General features: G+C 42.1%; 1 long non-coding RNA gene across 3 annotated transcripts in view; it reads right to left on the bottom strand.

The window, feature by feature from the left end:
* Positions 1–25,865, bottom strand: part of LOC105378071 (uncharacterized) — a 59,237-nt gene that overhangs the window by 7,133 nt on the left and 26,239 nt on the right. For 2 of the 3 annotated variants that reach the window (XR_943139.3, XR_943136.3), the window contains 3 exons: positions 12,321–12,510; positions 11,011–11,180; positions 10,245–10,375 (listed from right to left, as the gene is read on the bottom strand). This is a non-coding gene — a long non-coding RNA (uncharacterized LOC105378071). Of the gene's footprint in view, positions 1–10,244; positions 10,376–11,010; positions 11,181–12,320; positions 12,511–25,865 lie in introns of those variants that run through there. The other variant, XR_943140.3, reaches the window with a different exon arrangement.

Raw genomic sequence — 25,865 nt, 5'->3', positions numbered from 1 at the left:
TTTCTCCTTCACTTATGAAGCTTAGTTTGGCTGGATATGAAATTCTGGGTTGAAAATTCTTTTCTTTAAGAATGTTGAATATTGGCCCCCACTCTCTTCTGGTTTGTAGGGTTTCTGCCGAGAGATCCGCTGTTAGTCTGATGGGCTTCCCTTTGAGGGTAACCCGACCTTTCTCTCTGGCTTCCCTTAACATTTTTTCCTTCATTTCAACTTTGGTGAATCTGACAATTATGTGTCTTGGAGTTGCTCTTCTCGAGGAGTATCTTTGTGGCGTTCTCTGTATTTCCTGAATCTGAACGTTGGCCTGCCTTGCTAGATTGGGGAAGTTCTCCTGGATAATATCCTGTAGAGTGTTTTCCAACTTGGTTCCATTCTCCGCATCACTTTCAGGTACACCAATCAGACGTAGATTTGGTCTTTTCACATAGTCCCATATTTCTTGGAGGCTTTGCTCATTTCTTTTTATTCTTTTTTCTCTAACCTTCCCTTCTCGCTTCATTTCATTCATTTCATCTTCCATTGCTGATACCCTTTCTTCCAGTTGATCGCATCGGCTCCTGAGGCTTCTGCATTCTTCACGTAGTTCTCGAGCCTTGGTTTTCAGCTCCATCAGCTCCTTTAAGCACTTCTCTGTATTGGTTATTCTAGTTATACATTCTTCTAAATTTTTTTCAAAGTTTTCAACTTCTTTGCCTTTGGTTTGAATGTCCTCCCGTAGCTCAGAGTAATTTGATCGTCTGAAGCCTTCTTCTCTCAGCACGTCAAAGTCATTCTCCATCCAGCTTTGTTCCGTTGCTGGTGAGAAACTGCGTTCCTTTGGAGGAGGAGAGGCGCTCTGTGTTTTAGAGTTTCCAGTTTTTCTGTTCTGTTTTTTCCCCATCTTTGTGGTTTTATCTACTTTTCGTCTTTGATGATGGTGATGTACAGATGGGTTTTCGGTGTGGATGTCCTTTCTGTTTGTTAGTTTTCCTTCTAACAGACAGCACCCTCAGCTGCAGGTCTGTTGGAATACCCTGCCATGTGAGGTGTCAGTGTGCCCCTGCTGGGGGGTCCCTCCCAGTTAGGCTGCTCGGGGGTCAGGGACCCACTTGAGGAGGCAGTCTGCCCGTTCTCAGATCTCCAGCTGTGTGCTGGGAGAACCACTGCTCTCTTCAAAGCTGTCAGCCAGGGACATTTAAGTCTGCAGAGGTTACTGCTGTCTTTTTGTTTGTCTGTGTCCTGACCCCAGAGGTGGAGCCTACAGAGGCAGGCAGGCCTCCTTGAGCTGTGGTGGGCTCCACCAAGTTGGAGCTTCCCGGCTGCTTTGTTTACCTCAGCAAGCCTGGGCAATGGCGGGCGCCCCTCCCCCAGCCTCGTTGCTGCCTTGCAGTTTGATCTCAGACTGCTGTGCTAGCAATCAGCGAGATTCCGTGGGCGTAGGACCCTCTGAGCCAGGTGTGGGATATAGTCTCCTGCTGCGCCGTTTTTTAAGCCGGTCTGAAAAGCGCAATCTTCGGGTGGGAGTGACCCAATTTTCCAGGTGCGTCCGTCACCCCTTTCTTTGACTCGGAAAGGGAACTCCCTGACCCCTTGCGCTTCCCAGGTGAGGCAATGCCTCGCCCTGCTTCGGCTCGTGCCCGGTGCGCGCACCCACTGGCCTGCGCCCACTGTCTGGCACTCCCTAGTGAGATGAACCCGGTACCTCAGATGGAAATGCAGAAATCACCCGTCTTCTGCGTCGCTCATGCTGGGAGCTGTAGACCAGAGCTGTTCCTATTCGGCCATCTTGGCTCCTCCTCCGACCCCTCAATCTTAAACTTCCTAGCGTCCAGAACTGTGAGCCAAATGAACTTCTTTGGTTCATAAATGATTCAGTCTGTGGTATTCTGTTATAGCAAAATACAAATGGACTAAGCATTTGTATTTTGCTAGAATTGCTACCATTTGTGTTTACACAGAATACCTGGTCTGTGATATGCTGTTATAGCAAAATACAAAAGCAAAATGGACTCAGATGGAGAGCCAAGCTTTATTGGCTTGGCTTTGGTGGTAGCTGGTGTGCAGGGAAGGACATGACTCACTGATCTAAGGAACTCTCAGGCATTATTTTGAAAAATACTGACTCTGTGGTACTTGCTGTCTGAGTGAATCCGTGGGAGCTGCATAGAACAAGTACTTCTTCATCTGAGACTTGAGGGATAAGTTAGAATTTTTTAAGTAGGCAAGAGTAGTAGGAAGAGTGTTCCAGGCTAAAGCACAGGTATTTTCAAAGTCATGGAAACGCACAAGTTTGGCAAGCTCAGGAAAAGAGTTTCTGGCCTCTGTTATTTTAGGAAGTCCTAGACCAGAGTTGTTTTTGCTGATGGAAGTAACCCAGGCAGCACTAATGAGCTCTACACTGAGAATCAAAAAGTGTGGTTCCAGTTTGAGATGGGATCAGAGCCCATGTGTTTTTTTCCCCTTCTCTCCAAAGGTTGTCTTGAAAATGACAAGTTATAGGATAACAATAATGACAATAATAATAAAAATGATAACAAAGAAACAAAAAACAGCATTTGTCTTGTAGAATCCTACCTTTTACATTTTAATTTTGGTCTCTGGACTGAAGCAAGAAAAAAGTTAGAAATAGGAAAAGGATTAGTGAGGTTTTCCTCTCGGATGAAACAGGATAGGCCTAGCAGCTCCTTGGCACCCACTACTGTGAAGCAGGCTTGGTGTGCACCAGTTACCAATCTGAAGTTTCCAACACTTGCACCAGTCTGGTAAGATGGAACACATGCACAACAAATTAAGTGGAGCAACTGTAATACAGACAAACAAGACACAAAAGAAGCCTAGGATTCCTGGCAAGCGCATCTCCCAAGGTAAAGGGAAAGCTGCGTGTGGCGGATGGGATTTGTCTGTGCATGCCCTACATCCTACCACCGCCAGGGGACCCCCAAAGCACTCTGCTCTGGGTTTCTACATCCTGGGGAAGATTGGGATTGCGGGGCCTGTACATTCTATTGAAGTGGTGATGTTGTCTGGGGTAAGTGCCCGGGCTTCGTCGTCTAGCGCCAAAAAAATTTAGGACACGGACACACATGAGGAATTTAGGAGAGGACGTTAATAGGCAAAAGAAAGAGAAAGGAGAACCGTTCTCTCTCTAGTGAGAGAGAGGGGCTTCCAAAAGGAAAGAGGGGCTTCCAAAAGGAAAGAGCGGCTGGTGGAGTTCTCTGGATTTTATAGGCAGGCTTGAGTAGGCAGTGTTTGATTTAGGTAGGGCTCACAGATTGGTTCGATCAGGTGTGACGTTTACATAGCGTGCAGGGATGGCTGGCCACCCCACCCTAATCTTATTATGCAAATGGGCTTTCCACCTGACTGGCGCAATCTCGTCTGCTCCTTACTGTACACGTGGCTGGCAAAGAGGAGGGAAGATGGAGCTGCCATTTTGAACATGTCTAGTCCCAGGTAGCATTTTTCCTGTGGGCATTCACCTGTGCAAGCTTCCAGCTTGCTTGTCTATGTCTGCAGCTCAATTTTACAGGCTGCTCTTTGTTAGAAAATGATTTGGGGGCGGCTTTTCATTAAAAAGGAAAAACCTTACTCCTGTACCCTCACTATCTGCCTAAGTAATTTCTTCTTAACTCCTATATCACTATTATGAGAGGAATGGGAACAGAGCCTGGGCTGTTCTAGACCATTCCTTCTTATCTCGAGAGGTTGCATTCCCAGCACATCCTACAGTTGAGAATTAGGAGCAGGGGAGAGCTGGGTTGGCCAAGGGCATCTGGGGACCCGTCCTTGTGAAATGACCCTCTAGCTCATCCCCAAAGTCAAGCGATCATCCCTAATAGGTGGCTCTCGACTTCTAGTGTCTCTAGTTCTGTGGTCCCGCCCCTGCCTTTCTTCCCAGCCATAACCACCCTCCTAATACTTTACTTCCTACATACTTTTTTTTTGTATTTTTTATTCTTAACAAAACCTTAAGTATGGTGCTGTCTCTGCTCTTCTGGTCCTTACAGTCCCTCCTGGCTTCACAGTTCCCCTGCCTAGCCTGGTCAGGTATCTCAGCTGTACTCTTCTTAGTGTCCTGGAACACCTGTGCTCTGGATTTGCCAATCTTGGACTTTGCGTCTAGCTTCCATGTGACCAAGAGCTGCCGAAGATGGTCACAAAAATGTGGTAATTGAGTCTCCTAGGCATTCGTGTAACACATCATACAGAAACCAGGAGTGTTTTTTTTTTCTTTAAATTATTTTTTTTCTCAAATTCTCAACCCAATAACCCTCAAGCATCCCTGGAAAATGGACTTCACTTTAATGGGAAGAACATTTCCATTTAAATTCAGCCCCCTCACTGTCCCCGCTCCACCTCAGTATTTATCTGCATGTTCTCCTGTCCCTTCCTTCTCTTTTCCGAGGACAGGCACGGCCCTTCCCTCTTCGACACTCCCCTCCCTGTGCCATGGTTGAATTCCTGCTGCCTCCTCACACATCCAGCCTCATTAGTTTTCTCTACTTTTAACTCGTTGCCTTATTCTCTTTCTTTCTGTGGGCCTCTTCTCTCTTTTGATATATTAAGATTTCCCAGCCTTAAAACAAGTCTACTTTATATGCCGCAGTCCCATTGGCAACTCTCTTATTCCCCCTCCTTTTTCCCCTTTAAAATTCTTGAATGAATAGCCTGCACTTCTTGTTTCTTACCCTGTTCCCCTCACTTAAACATTGGCTGCTGCTTGCCATTGTCTATGGTAACTGCTTTCCTTAAGGTCATCAATGGCCTCCAACCTCCCAAATCTAGGAATATTTTCTCAGGTATGATTTCCCTGGCCCTTTCTCTAGCCTTTAATATTGTTAATTAACCTCTCCAGCCTAAAACCCTCTTAGCATTTTATTTACATGAGGAGTCATTGGTAAGTTCTCCCCTTTTTGGTTTCCCCTAGGTTGCCTTTTGCTGCTGCTTTATTCTTTTCCTTTCCTCTTCCTCCCCAAATGTAAACATCCATTCATATTTTTATCATTGCCACTATTATTTTCACTAATACGCCTTTCTGTAGCACTAAATATTCACTAGACACTATTCTCCATGCTTTCCGTATATGAACATAGTCAGCGATGGCCACACCCTGTGTAGCAGAGGCTGCTATTAGTTCCATGTTGCCAATGAGGCTATTGAGGGACAGAGAGGTTAAATGATTGACTAAGTTTATAGGGCTAGCAAATGTCAGAGCTAGGATTCAAACCTAGGCATTCTGACCTTGGAGTCAGGTGCTTAAGCATCTCGATCATCTTTTCTTTTCCTTTCTTTTTTTTTTTTTTTTTTTTTTTTGAGATGGAATCTCGCTCTGTTGCCCAGGCTGGAGTGCAATGGTGTGATCTCAGCTCACTGCACCCTCGGCCTCCCCGGTTCAAGTGATTCCCTTGCCTCAGTCTCCTGAGTAGCTGGGATTACAAGCATGCGCCATCACACCCAGCTAATTTTGTATTTTTAGTAGAGAAGGGGTTTCACCATGTTGGTCAGGCTGGTCTCAAACTCCTGACCTCAGCTGATCCACCCACGTTGGCTTCCCAAAGTGCTGAGATTACAGGTGTGAGCCACCGGGCCCGGCCTCGATCGTCTTTTCTACTGCTCTCGGTGTTGTCCAGCCGGTCTCCCCTATCCCCAGGCTTTGAAACTCACTCTGAGTATCACTAGCACCAGCACACTTTCTTCCTGGTCATCTCACACTACCATCTCAGCAGTGCAGCCTTGATGCCCATTAACATGCCCATGATGGGTCCCCTCAAGAAGGGCGTATTCCACTCCCTTCCTCACCCCTGAACCCACAATCTCACCAATCTGACATCCCCACCTTTGCTAATGGTCCTATCTGGTTCTACACGTGATGTTATAATTGATGTTTCTACGTCTCATTGCCCTGGCAATCCCATCTCTTCAACATGGCATCTTTGCTGCTGTCATTCTGCTGCATACTCAGTATTTCTTCTCCTTCTAACTGGTTTCTGTGCCAGTTTCCTATCCACAAAAAAAGACGACTTATGATGTATGAATAAAATAAATATTTCTCACGGGCTGGGCTCTGGTCAGTTCCTCAGTGTTTGGTATGTCACCAAAGGCCTGCTCCCTTTGGATGACTCTTTTTGTTCCACTCTCTGTGTCTGTGAGCAAGAATCTTAGTCAGGCTAATCCTTATGCATAAATGTCTGCAACTTTGAAAAATAACCTTCCATCCATCTACCATGACAAAAAAATGCCTACAGCTTTGTGAGTTAGTTTCCAACTCTACTTGAAGCAAACCATTTTTATTTGATCCACAGGGGATTGAGCAAAACGTTTCTCCATGAGATGGGGCTGATGGTCAGTTGTATGACAGCTGGAAGACTAGACCGCTGCTGAGAGGGAAGCATGGAAGTGAGTCCTGAGGATAGGTGAACCCTGATGTTGGTGAACTGGTTCATGTTCCTGCTCCTACACTTGGTCTTAGCTCAGGATGCTCCATCCTGGACTTTACCTTCCCCGCAGTACTTAGCATTTCAGCACGTGAATTTCTCACTCTGCATTCTTAACCCTAAACATGCTTCAGGGCATAAGTGATACATAAAAGAGTTGTATCCTCAGAGCCTGGGGACCTAGGAGATCCTGTCCAGCCCAAGCTTCCTCTTCCAGGCAGCCCCTCCTGAGGAGGTCCTAGGGGAGTGAACGGACATAGGGTGTGGAGGGGACGTTTGACCTGGAGCTCTCCTGTGTGAAGTCTTGTTCCTTGGCATCCTTGGGTAAATCACTTCATCCCTGGAAACCTTAGTTTCTCATGTTTATCTACTAAGTAATACTTGCCTTACCTATCTTATGGGTAAAATCCTAATTCAGAAGATAATATGGAAAAGTGAAAATTCTCTGCAAAATATAAAAAGGTTTACAGATGTTCATTGCTACATTAAGGTTAAGAAAAATATCCTGCATTTATACAACGTTTGTTATTTAAAAAATAGTTTTAACAAATGACTGGATACCTATAATTATTTTTGTGACTGTGCATCTTTCCCATGGTGGCTCCTTGGCAAACAATTCCCAAGGCTACAGTATTAAGCAAAAACGATAGCAATGTAAATAGTAAATCTTGTTCTTATTAAGTGAGAAATGGGTACATGCTATGATGTGTTTTGTGCTATAATGGTGGATGCTTTGAAAGCATATTGTTAGCTAAAAAATAAAAGCATTAAAATGGGAGAAAATTTTCGCAACCTACTCATGTGACAAAGGGCTAATATCCAGAATCTACAATGAACTCAAACAAATTTACAAGAAAAAAAGAAAACAACCCCATCAAAAAGTGGGCGAAGGACATGAACAGACACTTCTCAAAAGAAGACATTTATGCAGCCAAAAAACACATGAAAAAATGCTCACCATCACTGGCCATCAGAGAAATGCAAATCAAAACCACAATGAGAGACCATGTCACACCAGTTAGAATGGCAATCATTGAAAAGTCAGGAAACAACAGGTGCTGGAGAGGATGTGGAGAAATTGGAACACTTTTACACTGTTGGTGGGACTGTAAACTAGTTCAACCATTGTGGAAGTCAGTGTGGCGATTCCTCAGGGATCTAGAAGTAGAAATACCATTTGACCCAGCCATCCCATTACTGGGTATATACCCAAATGACTATAAATCATGCTGCTATAAAGACACATGCACACGTATGTTTATTGTGGCACTATTCACAATAGCAAATACTTGGAACCAACCCAAATGTCCAACAATGATAGACTGGATTAAGAAAATGTGGCATGTATACACCATGGAATACTATGCAGCCATAAAAAATGATGAGTTCATGTCCTTTGTAGGGACATGGATGAAATTGGAAATCATCATTCTCAGTAAACTATCGCAAGGACAAAAAAACCAAACACCGCATATTCTCACTCATAGGTGGGAATTGAACAATGAGAACACATGGACACAGGAAGGGGAACATCACACTCTGGGGACTGTTGTGGGGTGGGGGGAGGGGGAGGGATAGCATTAGGAGATACACCTAATGCTAAATGACGAGTTAATGGGTGCAGCACACCAGTGTGGCACATGTGTACATATGTAACTAACCTGCACATTGTGCACATGTACCCTAAAACTTAAAGTATGATAATAAAAATAAAAGCATTACAGTTATTCTTATTTCTCTTGTTATATATCCAAAAGTTACAAGGAAAAATGCCCACAGACCAAGGTAATGGGGATTTGTTTATGTACTCGGCCCTTTATGCCCTGCAATATAATTCAATTGGCAAATGTATTTTGCATGATTTTCTCATACAGCAAGCTGTATTTAATAGCATCTGGCACATCTTGGAGTGCCCCACTGCATATCATGAGATGTTTAAATTGTATCGAATACTTTATAAAAGCTATTTCCATTCTGTTGTGCTCTTTTTGCAGATGGTGATCTGAGACAGTTAACAGTGATAATACGCCTCACTTTACTTGTTTGTGACTTATCACTGTTGCAGATGGAGAAACAGCATTTATGGATCACTGTTTCTATTCCCTGATTTTGAGGCTGATTTCTCCTTAGACAATTCCTCAGATTTCACATTTGGGTCGGTAGCGCCAGATGGAAACTAGCATTCATGCCTGTGTACTTGATTTGTACCTGTAATAGTCAAATAGGGTGCTCAATTTAATAATGACTGGTACCTATGGAGACCAATGAACTCAATTTTTAAGGTAATGAAACCAACACAAATAGCGTTTGAAGAATGTGCCTGTCTTGCCCAATTTTGAATGCCTGTGAGCACCCACTTCTTAAACAAACATTGAGCAAAGCGGTTGACTCTATGGAGGCTGCACTGTTAATAAGACTTACTTCCTGTGCTCAGGGATTGTCAAATCAAGTAAGGAAGAGGTATTTAACAATAACAAATATCTCTGCCATGCCAGGCATTGTATTATTCAAGACAAGCTATCTAATTATAATTGTATTTTATTTAGAATATCTCAAAGTAGCTCACAAAAATTTCCAGTTTGAAGCTTTAAGGGGAAAAAATAAAAGACTTTGAAGGTCATCGTGATAGACTTAATAGCCATTAGTTGTCCAACAGCTTCAACAAATGGAATCAATGTTGGTAAGCTAGGCATCCAGGTTGGTAAGCCAAATGCTGTAGAGCACTTTAACCCATTCACCAATCATTGACCAAAGAAGTCTTTAAACTTCTGATTTCAAGAAATTTCTATAGGCAAAAGTTTTGATATACAAAAGAGAAATAAAACTAAAGTGAGGAAAAATTATTTTAATCTCATTTAAAGGAACGTTGAGACTTATATCTTCATCTTGGGCTCTTTAAATCTCATCATGTATATCCACATACACCTGTCAAGTGCCAACCTACTTTTTGTGTGTAAAGTGTAACCATGCCATAATGAAATTGATTGTAAGTTTCTGGGACACATACACATGCCCCTATATATTGGTATATATGTATTTATATGTCTTTCAAATGCCAGTTGTCAGATTCTATAAGTAGAGTTACTGTACTCATGCAGTTGAGAATAGAGAAGCAAAAATCTTCCAGCATTGACACATTTAAAATATATATATGTATTTTAAGATGGAGTCTTACTCTGTCACCCAGGTTGGGCTCAGGTGATCCTCCTGCCTCAGCCTCTCGAGTAGGAACTACAGACACGTTCCACTGCACCTGTCTAATTAAAAGTGTTTTTTTTTTTGTTTTTGTTTTTGTAGAGATGGAGTCTCACTTTGTTGTCCAGGCTGGACACACATTTTAAAATTCAATCATTTTGTGTTTAAAATATGTATACTCTAACTTATGTAAATGTTTAAAGAGTGCCTATTATGTATAAAGTCTGGGGTACTGAAGAGAGAATTGAATTAGGCAACATCCCTGCCCTTAAGTTGGAAACACATTTTAAAATTCAATCATTTTGTGTTTAAAATATGTATAATTTATGTAAATGTTTAAAGAGTGCCTATTATGTATAAAGTCTTGGGTGCTGAAGAGAGAATTGAATTAGGCAACAGCCCTGCCCTTAAGTAGTATACAAATATTTGCCTTTAATACAATGGGATAAGAACTCTTTTTCTTTTCTTTTCTTTTTTGAGATGGAGTCTCACTCTTGTTGCCCAGGCTGGAGTGCAGTGGTGTGACCTTGGCTCACTGCAACCTCTGCCTTCTGGGTTCAAGCGATTCTCCTGCCTCACCCTGCTGAGTAGCTGGGATTACAGGTGCCCACCACCACACCCAGCTAATTTTTGTACCTTTAGTAGAGATGGGATTTTGCCATGTTGGCCAGGCTGGTCTCGAACTTCTGACCTCAGGGGATCTTCCTGCCTTGGCCTCTCAAAGTGCTGGGATTACAGGTGTGAGCCACTGCGCCTGGTCAAGAATTCTTATGGTGGTAAACAAAGATAGAATAGTTTCATAAAAAGAGGGACAGATGACTTCTGCCCTGGGGCCCTGGCAAAGGATGGTGACTGTGTGAGAGAAGCTTTCTTAGAAGAGGGGATGGTAGAGGTGGGATGATTTGGAGATCTCCAGGAAGATAATGAGTGTGGGTGGGACCAAAGTGCAGGGTGAAAGTGAAGTCTCCTAGACTCAGTGCGCATGCTTGGCAGGTCATTTGACTACAGCTTCCATGCTTGGAGATGACTGGCTGGAGATGAGAGGCCAGTTCATGGTGGGGCTTTGCAGGTTTGGGATGATGCTGAGCTTGAACTCAAGAGAACTCTAGGCAATGGTGGGCCAAAGAAGGGTTTTAAGCAGGTCAGTGACATAATCATGTTTTTGTTTTATAATGATGCCTCTGATAGGAATGTTGAAGGTAGACCAAAAAAGGGTAGGTTTGCGGACAAGATTTGATTAGGAGCTTCTGGTCAAACCCCACAGAAAGTGAAGAGGATATAGGTGTGAGAGACATTAGGAGAGGTAGCATTATATAGAAACCAGTTGAATGGGAGATGGGGATAAGGGAGAGAAAGGATCTTAGGATGCATGCCAGATTTGGAATGGCAGTGCCACATTTACCAGGAGAGAGAAAGCAGGAAGAGAAGCTCTGTTTGGGTGCGCAGTAACACATTCAGTTTCATTCCGGCTGAGGTTGAGGTGCTGTTGGGCTGTCTAGGAGGGGAAGCCTTCTAAGCAGTTTTTGCACTGTATAATTCACGGGAACACGAAGATGAATAAAACACGAGCTCCTGCAAAGAATTCACAGTTCAGTAGGAGTTATTTGTCCATGTTCTAGAACCACCCAAGCCAAAGCTAACCCTGAGTTGTAACACACCATTCCCAAGGGGCTGTTCTATTCCTCTTTCAGCCCCCAGCTCCTCTGCCAGGGCTTCCAGTGCCTGAAGTCCAGGCTCCAACCCTTGCCAACCTTATCTTTTTGGAACACATATTGAATTATATCATTCCTCAGCTAAAAATCATTTGATGGCTCTCAATTGCTTCTGGGATAAATCCCAGACTCTGTCCCTGTCATTTTTGGCTCCTCAGGGCTCATATTCCACCCTCCTCTTCAAAACCAATAGATAGAGCCAGTCCACCCGACAGGCTGGCGTTGTGCCTGTGCACTCCTGAAGCTTCTGCCTTATGTGTTTTCTTGACTTGTACTGACATTTCTTGACTTGTACTGCCATGTGGGGACAGTTGTACTCATTCATCCTCAGCCTTGACTGTTCCTGTCCCTGAAACAATGCCTCCATAATAGGACAATATATGATGAGGTAAACGGATAATGAGGAGTGGACAATAGTTGAAAGACCTAGGATCTTTATCTTAGATCTAGGGCTTGGATCTTTGAGTGCTGGCTCTCAGCTTTTCAAATCACATGGTCTACGGTTAATTACTTAATTTCTTTAGGTTCAGTTTCTTCATCTATAGAATGGAGTTAAAGTTGCTCTTGCAGTTTTCACTGGGTGATGGGGAAGTTGAGAGTGATAAATAGATGTCAAGTAACAGGTAAATGAAGTACTTTATAAATGTGTTTTATATGGACATTTCACTGTAGGCGTTGAAATGTCTATTTCTAAATAATAAGACAAAATGTACAACTAATGACATCTTGCAATTGCAAATCTTTTTTTCTTTCTGAGAAATTTTGTATGAATATATACTGCAAAGAGGAAGGTGCTCTATATTGCCAATCTAAATTGATTGCTTACTTAGTACATGGTGCCCTGTAGGTACTGATAATTTATCATTTATGTTCTTCTTTGGAGATCATATGTATTTATACGTCACAACTGACGAGGCTACAAATTATGTTCTCTTAGGTTTCAGGGAAATTCAGCATCATCTCAAATTCCATAACTAACTTTGACTTAGGTTTAACTCACACAGGATAATAGATAATCCCCTGTACTCCGGCTGGATAGACCTCAAACATTTATGATCTGTTATTCTTCTCTCCACATTAATAAAATGGCACTTGGAAGCTCCCTCAGTGAAGACTGTGCAGCTGGCGTGACAGTGATGGGCAGCTTCTTTGGCAATTGCAGTAAATGTTGTATCTGTTTATCCATGCATCTGCAAAAGTGAATGTACAGAAGCGGTGAGGGGGTGTAGAATAGAAAATGGGGCTACTTCACAGATAAGCATTTGAATGTGTCATCTGAAACAGAAGTCCTAATTGGCCCTAGACAGCTGTCAAAAACATTCCTTGTTCTCTGATTCGACCAGAACTTCTGCCTCTGAAATAATTGTTTCTTTTTTCTTTTTTTTTCTGCACCAGCAAATACATAACATGTTTGCATATCCCTAGTTTTTAAAAGTCATACTATCCTCCCTCCTAAGCTGCTGAGTTCCAGCTTCAGACAACACTTAGCAACATAACTAGCAATACTTATATTACTAATATCATTGCTGGCATTTGTGGAACATTCCATATGCCAGGCTCTGTGCAAAGCGCTTTATTCACATGATCTCATTAATTCATCACAACATAGGTCTGTGGGAACAATTATAGTAATAGGTAGGGACTAGGAAACCCCTCCTTTTCTTGGAGAAGTTAAATAATTTGCCCAGGGGCATGCTTCTATTTGATAGCAGGGCAGAGTCTAAAACCCAGAACTTTCTAAAACCTGGGCACCTAATCATTGAACCACACTACTTTTTGAGGCTTTGTTTCTTGGTTACATTTATCTTAGCAAAAGCTATAGCTGCTTTTCAAAGAATGATGCATTAGTTCATACCACAGTTTCTTCTGATTTCTCATATCCTTCTCTCTGCTTAATTAAATCTCAACTTATGCTTGTTTGAAAGCAGAGTGTCCCAACTGGAGGACTTTGAGTGGGTTACCAGGGGTCATGAGATAGTGATTCCCTCCACCCTTGGGGCCACCAGGTCTGTTATGGGAGTCTGATGTTTCTGGCTACCACTGGCTGGCAGCAGCCTTATGCATTTACTCTGTGATGTATGCCCATTTCATTCTCTATGGATGATGTGAAGGTCAGGGGTCTGCCAGAGGCCGTGGCAAGCCTCTGTGTGCCATTAAGCCTTCCTGGGGCTCTGGCTTCTCTGTTCCCACAGCATTGTATTCTTTCTCATTGAATCCTGTTCTTAAAGGATCATTGTTCATGTCCACTGATTTTTTTTTTAAGAGTCCGAGTTTTTACTTCCTTTAGAATAAAACGTCCTGAGGGCAGTACAAAGCACATGGGAATTGGTTGTTGATAGACGAGCATTTTAAATAAGCAAATGAGCTTCTGCCCTGTATGACCTGTTATTATCCTGTGACTAGATTTCTAAGTCAAAGTGAAATGGAAGAGTGAAGTAATTATCTGCACAATTTAGCAGGAAAATAGTGGCAGGCTGAATTTTCTAGATAATGTGATGCTGCATCCCATATTGGTTAGATGAGAGGAACTGAACTGTGTTTGCACACCTGGTCCTATATATTAGGATTCCCGCTTATTTATTCAGCCTGTCAGCCCTTTAAGAGAGTACTCTGGTTGTTTATCCAGAGAATTTATCTAAATGCACCTCTCCAGCCTAGTCTGTAGTAGTCTAGTAATGTACACAGTGCAATCATGCATTGCACAGTCTGCAATTCTCCCTGCCCACCCTGCTGGAGAACCAGGTAGCCATTTATAAATATGTGTGTGTCAGATGTTTAAAAAATGCTCGTATACTGGGAATATAGCAAAATGCCTTGAGGTACACTGCACATGGCCTGGATAAGATGTTTGCTTTACAGAACCATCTCTGATGCAACAACAGTTGCCTAATTAAAGCACCAAAGCCCATTCCACTGATAGCAGCAAAGGACACAACACCGAAGCATCTCTTTCTCCCCAAAGGCATGTTATTTTGTGCTGGAGACTCTTCATAGGTGGAAAAGCACAAAGAGAGACTGCACAGCATTTGGGCTCTTCCATTAGAGCAGACGCTGGGGGGGTGTAAGAGTAGGGTGAGGGCGGGGAGATGACTTATTTCCATTTCTAAGTAACACATAAAATTGGCCTTGCTCCTTGTAGCAGTCATGAGACCCACACACATTTCCCTTTCTGTCCGGTTAAGCACTTGAGTATTTCCTCCTTGATTTCTCAGATCAGTGTGTGGTAGTTGGTATAAGCCAAACAGATCCTTAGAGCACTTAATAAATCCAGAAGAGGCATATAGGGGAGTCCTTATAAATATATAATAGCGATCTCTGGATAACACTTAGACATTTTAACTCCCTGAAAGTGATGTTATTTTGAGGGTCTCCAATTGTAACATCATGAAAGGAGCCACACGGCTGATGTGGAAATGGAAGGAAGATAATGCATTTAACATGGCTTTTTTGGACCACTCTTTCATCAACTATTGATTTGATTGCAAAAGCCTTTAGTTAGTGCAGGAATTCTACTGGTAATAATTAAATTTTCAAGAGATATGCCGTAGGAGAAATGAGGGGAGGAGGGGAGGGAGGGGCTACATGTGGAGTGGGCTCCACGAATGTTAATGACTCTGTTAGAGTTACATAAAATTAACAGAAATTAGATCTATGGTTATTGAAGAGCCTCCTTTATATTGAGAGGAACCATTTAAGTATAACGATTGGGGATTATGGTTCAGTGGAACCTTTTAACTGTTCATTTGCCTGCCTTACTGACCGCTGGGCGGGGTGCGATAAATTCAGGATGTTGTGAAATGACTCCTGCTTCCTTTCGTTTGGATTCCTTTGCAGTTTTCTTCATAACATCATAGTATGGGCTAGTGTTGCCTTTATGCTTTACTAAGTGAGGTTCACAGAAACGAACAGTCCTTGCAAAGTGCACAGTAATTATTTTGACCTCTTTGTCTTGATTTCTGTCTAAAAGACCTCCCCCAATTTCTGTAGAATCTAATTGGATGTAGTTTTAACATTTCCTTCCTACACAGGGCCTACAATTGCTATAAAAGGTTACCACGATCTGAACACGTATTATCTCAAAGTAGAGGTGAGTGAACGTTCTGACCGAGAACGGCAACATTTAAGACAATGGAGTGTGCAGCTTCTGCAATCCACAGATTTTTTTTCTTCCTATAGAAATATTTTGTATGCTAATGTGCTTCTGACGGTGAGACTTGACTTTTTACTGCAAACTCTAGCGTTGGTTGCCGAGTATGTTAGCTCAGGTTTCATGGGAAAAGATATTCTTTGTGAGTAATGGGGTGAGAAATGAGAAGAGGAATGCAATCTGGCTGCTTATGATGAAGGCTTGATGAGAAAGAGTTAAAACCCAGCCTATTGTCTGAGGCATGCTCAGTGTTAGGAAACTGGGGCATATAGATTAATTCACTAGGGGCCAACTGTTTGATTTCTCTCCCTGCTGCTTGGCACCGGAATGCAATTCTAGCTGCATTTATAGCAGAAGCTTGGATTATATTCTCTTTTGTAGGAATTAAGCCCCATAGAATAATTTATGTACAGCCAAGTGAAATTAAGCCAAAACATTTAAAGAGAAGTTGGTGGAGTTTTCTCAAGGCAGATGCCATTGGTTTCAATGTCAACATGGTGTTTGTTCTGTGTACCATCCATTGGGTGGCCTGTGTCCTTTGGGAAAGAACTGTGTGCAGAAAATTCTATAGCCACGATGCTTTGGGTACTCCCATTTGTTTTTCTTTCTGATATAACCCAGGAAAGCTTCAGTTCTATAGAGAATAGACTTATCCACAGTGCCCTGAGGAATCACTGCAACCAGACAGTCATAATGCCTCACTGGGATATGAGTCCATATAAGAAAACATACCACCCATTAGCCTGAGCCTTAATGTGTACTTACTCGGGTAAATAATTAAGGGAGTAGAGGAAACTTAGGTTTTTACATAAATATTAAAGGGACTGCTTTAACTGCGTGTTGTGCCAAAATGCCCACCACATATCGAATATGAGATGGCCTATATTAAACTGATACATAAAGGCAAAGGATGATTTTTGTCCTAAGGCTGTGCAAGGAAAAGTGACAAGAGGATGAACTAAAGATGAATTGCAGGATGCTGTCTTTGTTCAGCACCCACCCTCAATATGCGATGCTATTGAAGCCAGAAGTGGTCTACAAGGTAGCTGGGTATCAGCAGCACTCATTGCCAGAGACAAAAAGAAACCTCTGTTGGGTGGGGGCTGAGGGCCCCAGCTCCTAGATCCACAGGTCAGCTTTCAGTCACGTTGCCTTGGAGCTTGACGAGGCAGGTGGAATGCTGAACCTGCAGCTGGGGTTGGGACTATCACCAGTTTTAGCAAGTAGTGTGATTACTGTTCTTATTTTAAAATACAAAGTTTTGGAGTATTTTTTTGAATTGCTTAGGCAAAAATAATCAAATATACTTTGTGGATGAGGAAGAACACTGTTTTGCAAAAGACTAGAATATGAATATATATATTTTAAGTCAGTTCTGCTATAATGCTTATTTGGAAACTGAATTTGTTCCAGCACGACTGATATGTTAGGGAACAACTTGAACACAATGTGAATTTTGTGTTGGCTTCTGCGCAGTTTTGTCAGTGAGAGACACTAGGTGAATCCAGAAAGCTGCACCCAGCTCAACCAAGCCTTGTAGGCAACACAAAGCACACACACTTTAAATATCTGCCAGCTCCCCAAGTTCGCCAAATGTGTGAGGCCACAGCCGTGCACACTCATGCACGTGGTGAGTGCTGTCCTGACTTCCCTCCTATGCAAGTAACCTTTCTTCTGTCACTTCGCAATCTCAAGCAGCAACCCTGTGATGCCCACTTCCGCAAGCAAACTTCAGATCTTCTCAAGGTAAAATGCCACGTTTACTGTACTATATATGATTTCTTAACTATTTAACATATGCACTACTGTTTTGTTTTAGATTCATATTTCTTAACTTTGTGAAACATGTCACTGACAAAGTTTTTGAGTGTTATGTCCTTAACCTCATTTTCTCTATAAGCCCTATGGTTTTTGTTGCGTGATTTTGTGTGGTGCAGTGATATTTAGGAATCCATATGTTGCATTATAGCAGAGCTGACTAAGTACAGTTAGTGTTATTTAGCAAAAACTGAAATATTTATCCCTCCCTTCCTCTCTCTCCCTCTCCTTTAAAAATGTTCTCTGGATTCAAGAGACTCTAATGAGTCATTGGGATATGAGTCCATATAAAAGGAGTAAAGATACTCAAATGAACCCAGAAAAGATTTTTAAAGGAGAGGGAGAGATAGGAAGGGAAGGAGAAATTATATATCTATTATTTTTAATACAGAATAATATTATAAAAGAAAATTATTGATAGAAAAAAGTTATAATAATTTCTCTATTAATATAGAATAATGATATTGTTTTATTTACTAATATATTCTCTAATTATTAATCATAGATAATAACATTATTAGAGAATTATTAATAGATAAAATATATTATTTATATTATTATAATAATTTCTCTATTAATAGAGAATAGTATTTTTATGTTCTCTAATATTGTTATATTCTCTATTAATAGAGAAATTATGTCTCTATTATTCTTAACAGAGAATAGTATTCACCATTATTGTATATTTAGCTTTGTAAAATCAGATCTCTTCATATTGCATAATCTCAATAAATGTTTGTTGAAATGATTTGAATTGGTTTATTCACTGGCTAAATAATAGAACCTGTAATTAGGGATGCTGAGATTCCTGTCTCAGCTATCTATTCAAGCTCACCGCTCTCATACCCAAGAATTTTCCAGACCTTATTTGCAGAAATAAAGTTCTATGAGGCAGCAATATTTCTAAGGATTGGGTTTAATAATAATACATAAAAGCAAGATTTTGATGAAAACAGCATTTAGGGATCAACTCCTTTTTTTCTTCTTGATTTGTAAATGTGATTAGTCACTGCTTAATCTAGGAGTAGTGTTACCCTAGCCTGGTTCCTCTTATGCTAACCTCATGCTCACTTTGGAGTTAGCTGCATTTGAGGTCTGGTCATATTAGCAGCATTGCAGATCAGATGGACGTGAACAATTTAAGGAATTATGTGTTGAACTGCATTGTACACGGATTACTAACAGATGCCATTCTCTACTGGTTTTCAATTCTCTTATAACTCCCTTTCTTCTTTGAGAAAAAGGAAAAGAAACATCAATCAGTATGAAAATTCACAATTTGTTTTTCTATTATGGAAAATATAAGTTACCAATCCCGCTACAGGAAGAAAGAAGCATTTTAAATCAGATATTTCCATTGATGGTATTCTGAAATTTATATATGATAACTTTCTTCTTCCTCTGAGGTTGCACCAAGAATTTAGTGTACTGCCGGAGCAGATAAAACTGTTCTACTGGGTGGAAGAGTTTCTTAGAATAGATGTCTTAAAAACTTTGCATTCACTGTCAGTGAGTTTTGAAACATTCAAACATATTTTTATAAAATTTTATACTTAGAAAATTAAATCAAAAACTTTGAGAATTTAAAAAACTTTGGTCTTGAGCAATTTTTCCCTTATATTTTCTATTTTTCTGATTTTCTCCTTCTTTGCTATTATAATATTTTTGTATAGTTTCTATGCTGATTAATTTTTACTATTGCTCACAGCCATTTGTAAGAAGTTGCTAATGTGGAGAGACCAGAATAATGGCTGTCAGAAATTATTCTTATTCCACAGGGTATTGTGTAAAAGACAGTTCTTTTACTCCTTTCTTCTCACTTAACATACTTTGGCAAGCGTAGGTATGTTTACAATCTGTCTCCTTCACCATATCTCAATGACAGACTGCTTCCTGCAAGTATGGCTTGTTTGTGTCATTCTTCGTTTAGACTCAGCTATTCTGCACCTGACTGAAGAAAAGTGGAAGGGTATATTGCCCGACGGAAAATTAACGTGCTGCTAGTGAAAAAGAGGGATGGATTTGATGAAGGACACTAACAAGTGTCTATAATATACTAACATAACTTGGAACTAAGTATATTATATTCTAAGATAATTCTCCAAACTAACTTAATCAATATTTCTTTCTCTTTTTATTTTTTTTATAAGACAGGGTCTCACTCTGTAGCCCAAGCTGGAGTGCAATGGTGTGATCTAGGCTCACTGCAACCTCTGCCTCCAGGGCTCAAGCGATTCTCATGCCTCAGGCTTCCAAATAGCTGGGACTACAGGCGTGCACCATGCCCAGCTAATTTTTTGTGTTTTAGTAGAGACAGGGTTTCACCATGTTGCCCAGGGTGGTCTGAAACTTCTGAGCTCAGGTGATCTGCCTGCCTTGGCCTCCCAAAGTGCTGCGATTACAGGTGTGAGCCACCGCACCTGGCCTTAATCAATGTTTTCTACTCTTCCAACACTGAGACTTCATCAGAATGGTCACTCTATAGAAAAGGGACTGAGTTCCAGAAACTCCCTTTTCCCTCCTTTATCTTCTAACCTATGGAAAGGGACTGATTATGTGGTAAAGTGAACATCAGGCAATAAAAAGAGTGCAGATAAAGGGAAATTAAGGGAGATTACAAAATCTATAAATCCTAGTGTTTTAATAAACGAAGACTGAGCTGTCTTGTGTTTTCACCAGGAAATGTGCACAAAAATAAATATGAGAACAACAGAGATAAGCAGTGAATTTGGAAATTGAAAAATTATAGACCATTTGAATGACTCTGGCTTTTCTTTAGCCTTGTTGTATAGCCTTGAGTGATAACATTACTCAATTGGATTTTAGTGCGAAATGTTTCCCCCTAAACATCTCTTCTTGGTTCATATGATAAACAGGTAATAAAGTAGTATAAGATATTTCAAAAATACAGTCCTAAAAATCTATGGTTAAAAAATACGTATCTGGAGAAAAGTTGTTAGTAATAATCTCAAATGTTAGGGAAAGCCTAACAGTAGGCAGTGGATGTTCAGAAACCTCAAATTCCCACAGCCAGGCTTGTTAAGTTGCTCCTTTTCTGGGTTCTTCTTTCTCTCTCAGACTGATAGAGGGAAAGACCAGCAGATAAAATCATTTTGCAATACAGAAGCAATCACTCCAACTTTGTGCCAGATAATAGCCCTGTTTAAGTCTGCAGGTGGGATACTTTACTGACTGTAAACTCCTAGAGCCTATGCACAAATATTGGCAGGCAGGTGACCAACTAACAGCTGGAAAAGGTAGGCAAATAGATGAAGCTGAATCAGAGCCTGAAAAAAAAAGACAAAACAAAACACTCTCATTGTAGCAGCCGTGTAAGTGGAGAATATTTTCCTTATTCCTTTGCTTTCACCCACAGGGCGACACTCGGTAATTCTTCCATCTGTGATTGCTTCTGGCCACACCTTTGGTCTGTAGCAGTGGTTTTCAATCCTGGCTGCATGTTACAATCACCTGGGAGGCTTTGAAAGCTACTGACACATGGTTGGTACCTCTGGCGATTCCAATTTATTTGGTCTGGGGTGGAGCCCAGGGCTTGTAATTTTTAAAGCTTCCCTGGTGATTCTAGTGTGTAGTCAGTGTTGAGAAGCACTGGTCCTATAAATTTCTTTGCAGTGCAGCAGTTATGGGTCTAGAGGAGTGACTCTTTGGCTGCATATTAGAATCATCTGTGGAGTTTTGAAAAATGCCAGTGTCCAGGGCACACCCCTGGCCAATTAAATCAGAACCTCTGGAGTTGGGATCCAGGAGTCATCAGTTTTAAAAAACTCTGTAGAGGATTCAGGTGTGCAGCCAACGTTAAGCTCCACTGATGTAGAATGATGTGGGGGTCCAGGCAGGAGGACAGTCCAGGCGTGAGAAATACCTAGTGAAGAAGAGGTGCGTTCTCCATGCGGACTCCAGGAGGAGGGACACTGTCACAGAGGAAAAGATAAATCCCAGCACCTAACAAAACATGAAGAATTGAATTGACTCCCTCAGTCTGCATGTTAAGCGGTTGGGAGTTTTACAAAGTTAAGAGGGCACCTGATATCCACGGGGAGAAAGAGGGAGGGACGGGGTGGGGGGCATCAGAAGAGGGAAGCAGCAGGCATGATTTCCTTGGCGGGGCAACATCTGACAGAGGGAGAAATGATGGAGGCTCTGTATCTGGAGGTTTCTCATGGTGGGCCTTGGCCTCTCTTCCACTCTCACCTCTTCACCTTCTCCCACCTCCAGAGGTTCTCTGGCTACCAAAAGTCCAGGGTGATCCTTGTCACAACTCGCCCCAGCCAGTTTTCCCCAGAAACATCCAGGTACCCAAATGAAAGCAAAAGTAATCATGTCAAACTAATGTTCACTAAAGAGTAAGTGGTCATTACCCCCTCAGCAAAGTAGATTTCAAATGCCTCTGCTTTGACATAGTAATTCCTTGCAAGTTTGTTTGAATTGCAGGTTCCTGGCTACCTGTCTCAGGTCTTGACTCAGTAGTTCTGCAGGGGCATGCATGCTGGAATCCGCATCTTCCAATAGACACCCCCAGCAGCTCCTAAGGTCTTAGTTCTGACCTCAGGCATGTGGGGAAACAGTGTTGCATCACCTGTGGGTTGTTAGCTGATAATGGAAAATGACCGATTACCCAGCAGATGGTCTGCTCTTCCCTGACAGCACATTCACCTCCCATCTTCAATATCTAGGAATCAGGGTTTGGCCCTTCTCTATTTTGTGTTTCTATGGCACTTGCAGTTACCGTACATGTAAGCCATGCATGACATAAGGGTGTAGTGGGTACCTGTCATCAATCCCCCAATTCCTTTATATTGGAGCCTCTCCTCGAAAGTGTGCTTGGACAAAGTGTACAAACATTTCAATAAAATTTTTATAAAGCACAAAGAGCACAGCAATAATGTAATTTCTCTTCAGTATGTTGCTCCTGGCTGTAGTTGGCAGATGCCTTGCAGAAACCACCCACTTCTCTGTTTCAGAAATCCCCTTCCAGCTAGCTGTCCCTGGACTTGGCTTTTATTAGGGGTGTCACTGACCCCTTCTTTGTAGCACTCCAAGGTGTTTAGGGTGAGAGTGTGGCCTGGATTTATCTTCGGTGTGTGCTCTTAGCATCCTTCCATCCATGCTTAAAGGGTCCCCTATGGCTGTCAAACATGTCTTATGGGGGCAGAATGTGGCTTTCTTCATCATCTTGGTCCCTGGGCTTGAGAAAATGAGTAAAGTCGGAAAGTGGTAAGATAATGTACAACAGCCTATACTGTATCTGAGGGTTGGGTTTTCCTTAGCATGAGTGGGACTGAGGTGATTGAAACTTCTCCAAAATGGAAATAATTTTTTTGGCTGGGTATATTTATATGTGGACCATCAATCAGAAACACCAATTTTGAGTTTCTTGATGCTTGCTTGACTTTATAACATAGGAATTTTAAGTTCACGTCTCATCTCAACAACCCAATAATCTAGGAATTATTTCTAGTTTACTTATGAGAAAACAGAGTGCAAAGAGAATAAGTAATTTATCCAAGGTCATATAGACCATAAGCGGTAAAGACATGATTTAAATCCATATCTATCTGGCCATAAAGCCCGTGTTCTCTTCCATTACATCAGCCTGCGCCCCTAAGTGAATGGGAATAGTGGAAATCAAGGTGAAGGCAGCAGAAGCATCTGTGTTCTTATCCTGCTAATGCAACTATCAAGATACGAGACACGGGACAGTCCTTCAATTTCTGTTAAGAGGGCTCAGCATCTGAAAGGTTCTCTTTCTTCAGCCTGAGAGCTCCTCCTCTTTATTTCCTTTTATTTTTAACTTCACGTATGCTTGCATTGGAAGAAAGGATTCTACAACTAAAACAATGTTAAAAAACTACAAGACTAGATTTCTAAGATGGTCTCCAAGGTCCATCCCATCACCATGATTTGAAGGTTATAAATGTCAGAATTGGCTCTGAGGCTCCTGATAAAGAAATGCAGATGCTGGAAGGTGACCCTCCTCTTTCTCATCTCTAAGCTTTTATGACCATCATAACAGACAGGGGAGGAAACTTCCCGGGTTGTTCCGCTTGGGTGTGGCAGGATTTGGCACCACTCTGATATGTCGGTAGAAGATGACAGAAGGAGATGTTTCTTGTGTGGAAATGGACTCGCAACAAGACAATAATATAGAATCCGGTGGAATTCCCTTTAGTTGAGGACACAGGCGATTCGGGAATAGAATATGTCCCATTTTATTCATACTTTTCCCCCTTTAGAGTCCTGACACTTACAATACAGCCTTTAGACCAGCCACACGAACATTTCCAGGGAGCTTGTTAGACGTGGAAAATCTTGGGTGTACACTAGGTCTATGGAGTCAAAATGTTCATATTAAAAAGCCTCACGTGAAATTTGTATACACATTAAAGTCTGAGATGTCCCGCATTTGAGTAATACTGAAAAATACTGATGTGGGAACAGAAGGCTGTGATAGAGCAAGAGTGGTAGATTTGTCTTGAATATTAGATTGTCCAAAAACCAAGTGAAAATGCATTGTAAAGCTTAGCAAGAACAAGAAAAGATCATGCCTTGGCGTGAAATTCCCCCCTTCCCTCCTCTACTTCCCATTTTCCATAGTCCCAACTAATAGGCAGATACTTGTTGGGATGCCCAACTTGGTTGTCATCATATGGAACTCTGTGTTAGGATACAAGGGGCAGACCGATGAGGATGCAGAGAAATTTGGGACTGGCTGGGAGAGGGAGACAAGGAATCACTCTGGCTGTCAGTCACTTCTCAGTGCTTGAACAATAAACCTGGGTAGAAAGGCCCTTTGTTAGTTTGAAATAGCTGGCATGGGGCTGCTGGGCTGAACTTTCATGAAGACCAAAGAACCTCAGTGCTTGCAGCTGAACAGGACTACAGATGGCAGGAACTGGCAGTAGTCTATGGTGAACACTAGTCAAGAGCTTAAGTTGCTGTTTTAGTAAGAGTAAGTCATAATAGTGGCCATAACAGACACCATACCAGGTTGGGACTTTTCAAGGAGATTGAGTATGTAAATGGTAAGAGGAAGGAAGGAAGGAAAGAAGGAAAGGAGGGAGGGAGCTAGGAAGGGAGGGAGGAAGAAAAAAAGAGAGGAAGGGAGGGAGGAAGGGGGAAAATATAGTTCCAATAACCTTGTGGAAACAACTCACTTCCAGGAAGAATCCCATTGTTGGATCTGGCTGGCTCTGTCTTGCTTCCTTGTTTTGCTTCCTGGTTGTCAAGTGTGGTTTTGGTCGTGTGATTGCTGTCTACTTGTCTGTCCATCCCTTCCTCTGATCCTTCCCAGTCTAGTCTGCTTGCTCTCGTAAGAAGCACCAGATGGGGTAGGGCATGTTGGCTCATGCCTGTAATCCCAGCACTTTGGGAGGCCATGGGGGATGGATCACCTGAGATCAGGAGTTTTCAAGACCAGCCTGGCCAACAAGGTGAAACCCCGTCTCTGCTAAAGATGCAAAAATTAGCTGGGTGTGGTGGTGCATGCCTATAATCCCAGCTACTCAGGAGGCTGAGGCAGGAGAATCACTTGAACATGGGAGCGGAGGTTGCAGTGAGCCAAGATCGTGCCACTGTACTCCAGCGTGGGCGACAGAGTGAGACTGTGTCTCAAAAAAAAAAAAAAAAAAAAGCACCAGATGTCACTTCTTCCTCAGCTCTGTCTTTTCTATTGCTCCTTGATTCACCCTGAGCTTCTCACTTTTACACCATGCCCAGTGCACTAGCAGAAGGAAGGAAACTAGTCCTCACTGAGTGCCCCATCATGTGCTTGGGATTACAAAACTGGCAGAGTAGTACAATAAAATCTTTGAAGTGGGTGTTAGTAACCCCAACATTAAGATGAAAAATAGAACAAAAAACCTCTCATGCTGAGAGAGGTTAAATAATTTTTCTAAGGCCACACTTCTAGTGAGTACTGGAATTAACATTTGAGCCAAATGTCTGACTCCAGAGCCGGGACTTTCTCTCCCAGGTCAGATTGGCCTGCCACAAACCCTCGTTATTCCATCACTTTAGTCCCAGGATGTCTGTCTCCACTGGGGACACCTTTGAAGTTCAGCCCCAGTAGCCAGCCTTCTCAGCCTGCAACAAGAGGTGACACCAGTCTGGTGATGGCAGAGTCTGGCCTCCACAGGGAAGAAATTGTGAGCCTCCTTGAGACTGAGATAAGAGGAGATCGAAAATCAGCAACAGGAGCTAGAATGAGGAAGGCAGAGGCTATGTCCTTTGCTTCTTCTAATCCCCACATGATTTGTGCATGGGAAACAATAAATCTTTGTCCAATGCATGAAAACCCTAATTGCTGAGGTAATAGCTGTGAGGCTGACCAAAGGTGAATATGGGGATTTTCCTAATTTTTTTTCCAATGTCTTTCCCTGAAGCGGTGGCAATGGGGGAACACAGAAACTCACGACAAGACCACTGCTCTTAGGAAGCAGTGTGCGGCGAGACCCCTTGTGTGCTCTGTAGATACACAGAGAAGCTCGTGGGGAGAGAAAGGCACATGGGTTTGGAGAAAGGCAGGTTTGAATCCCAGCTTGAGTACTCACTGAGAGTCTG

The sequence above is a fragment of the Homo sapiens genome, chromosome 6 (genome assembly GCF_000001405.40).
Source record: "Homo sapiens chromosome 6, GRCh38.p14 Primary Assembly".
Taxonomy (NCBI): domain Eukaryota; kingdom Metazoa; phylum Chordata; class Mammalia; order Primates; family Hominidae; genus Homo; species Homo sapiens.
This window is presented reverse-complemented; position numbering and strand designations above follow the sequence as displayed.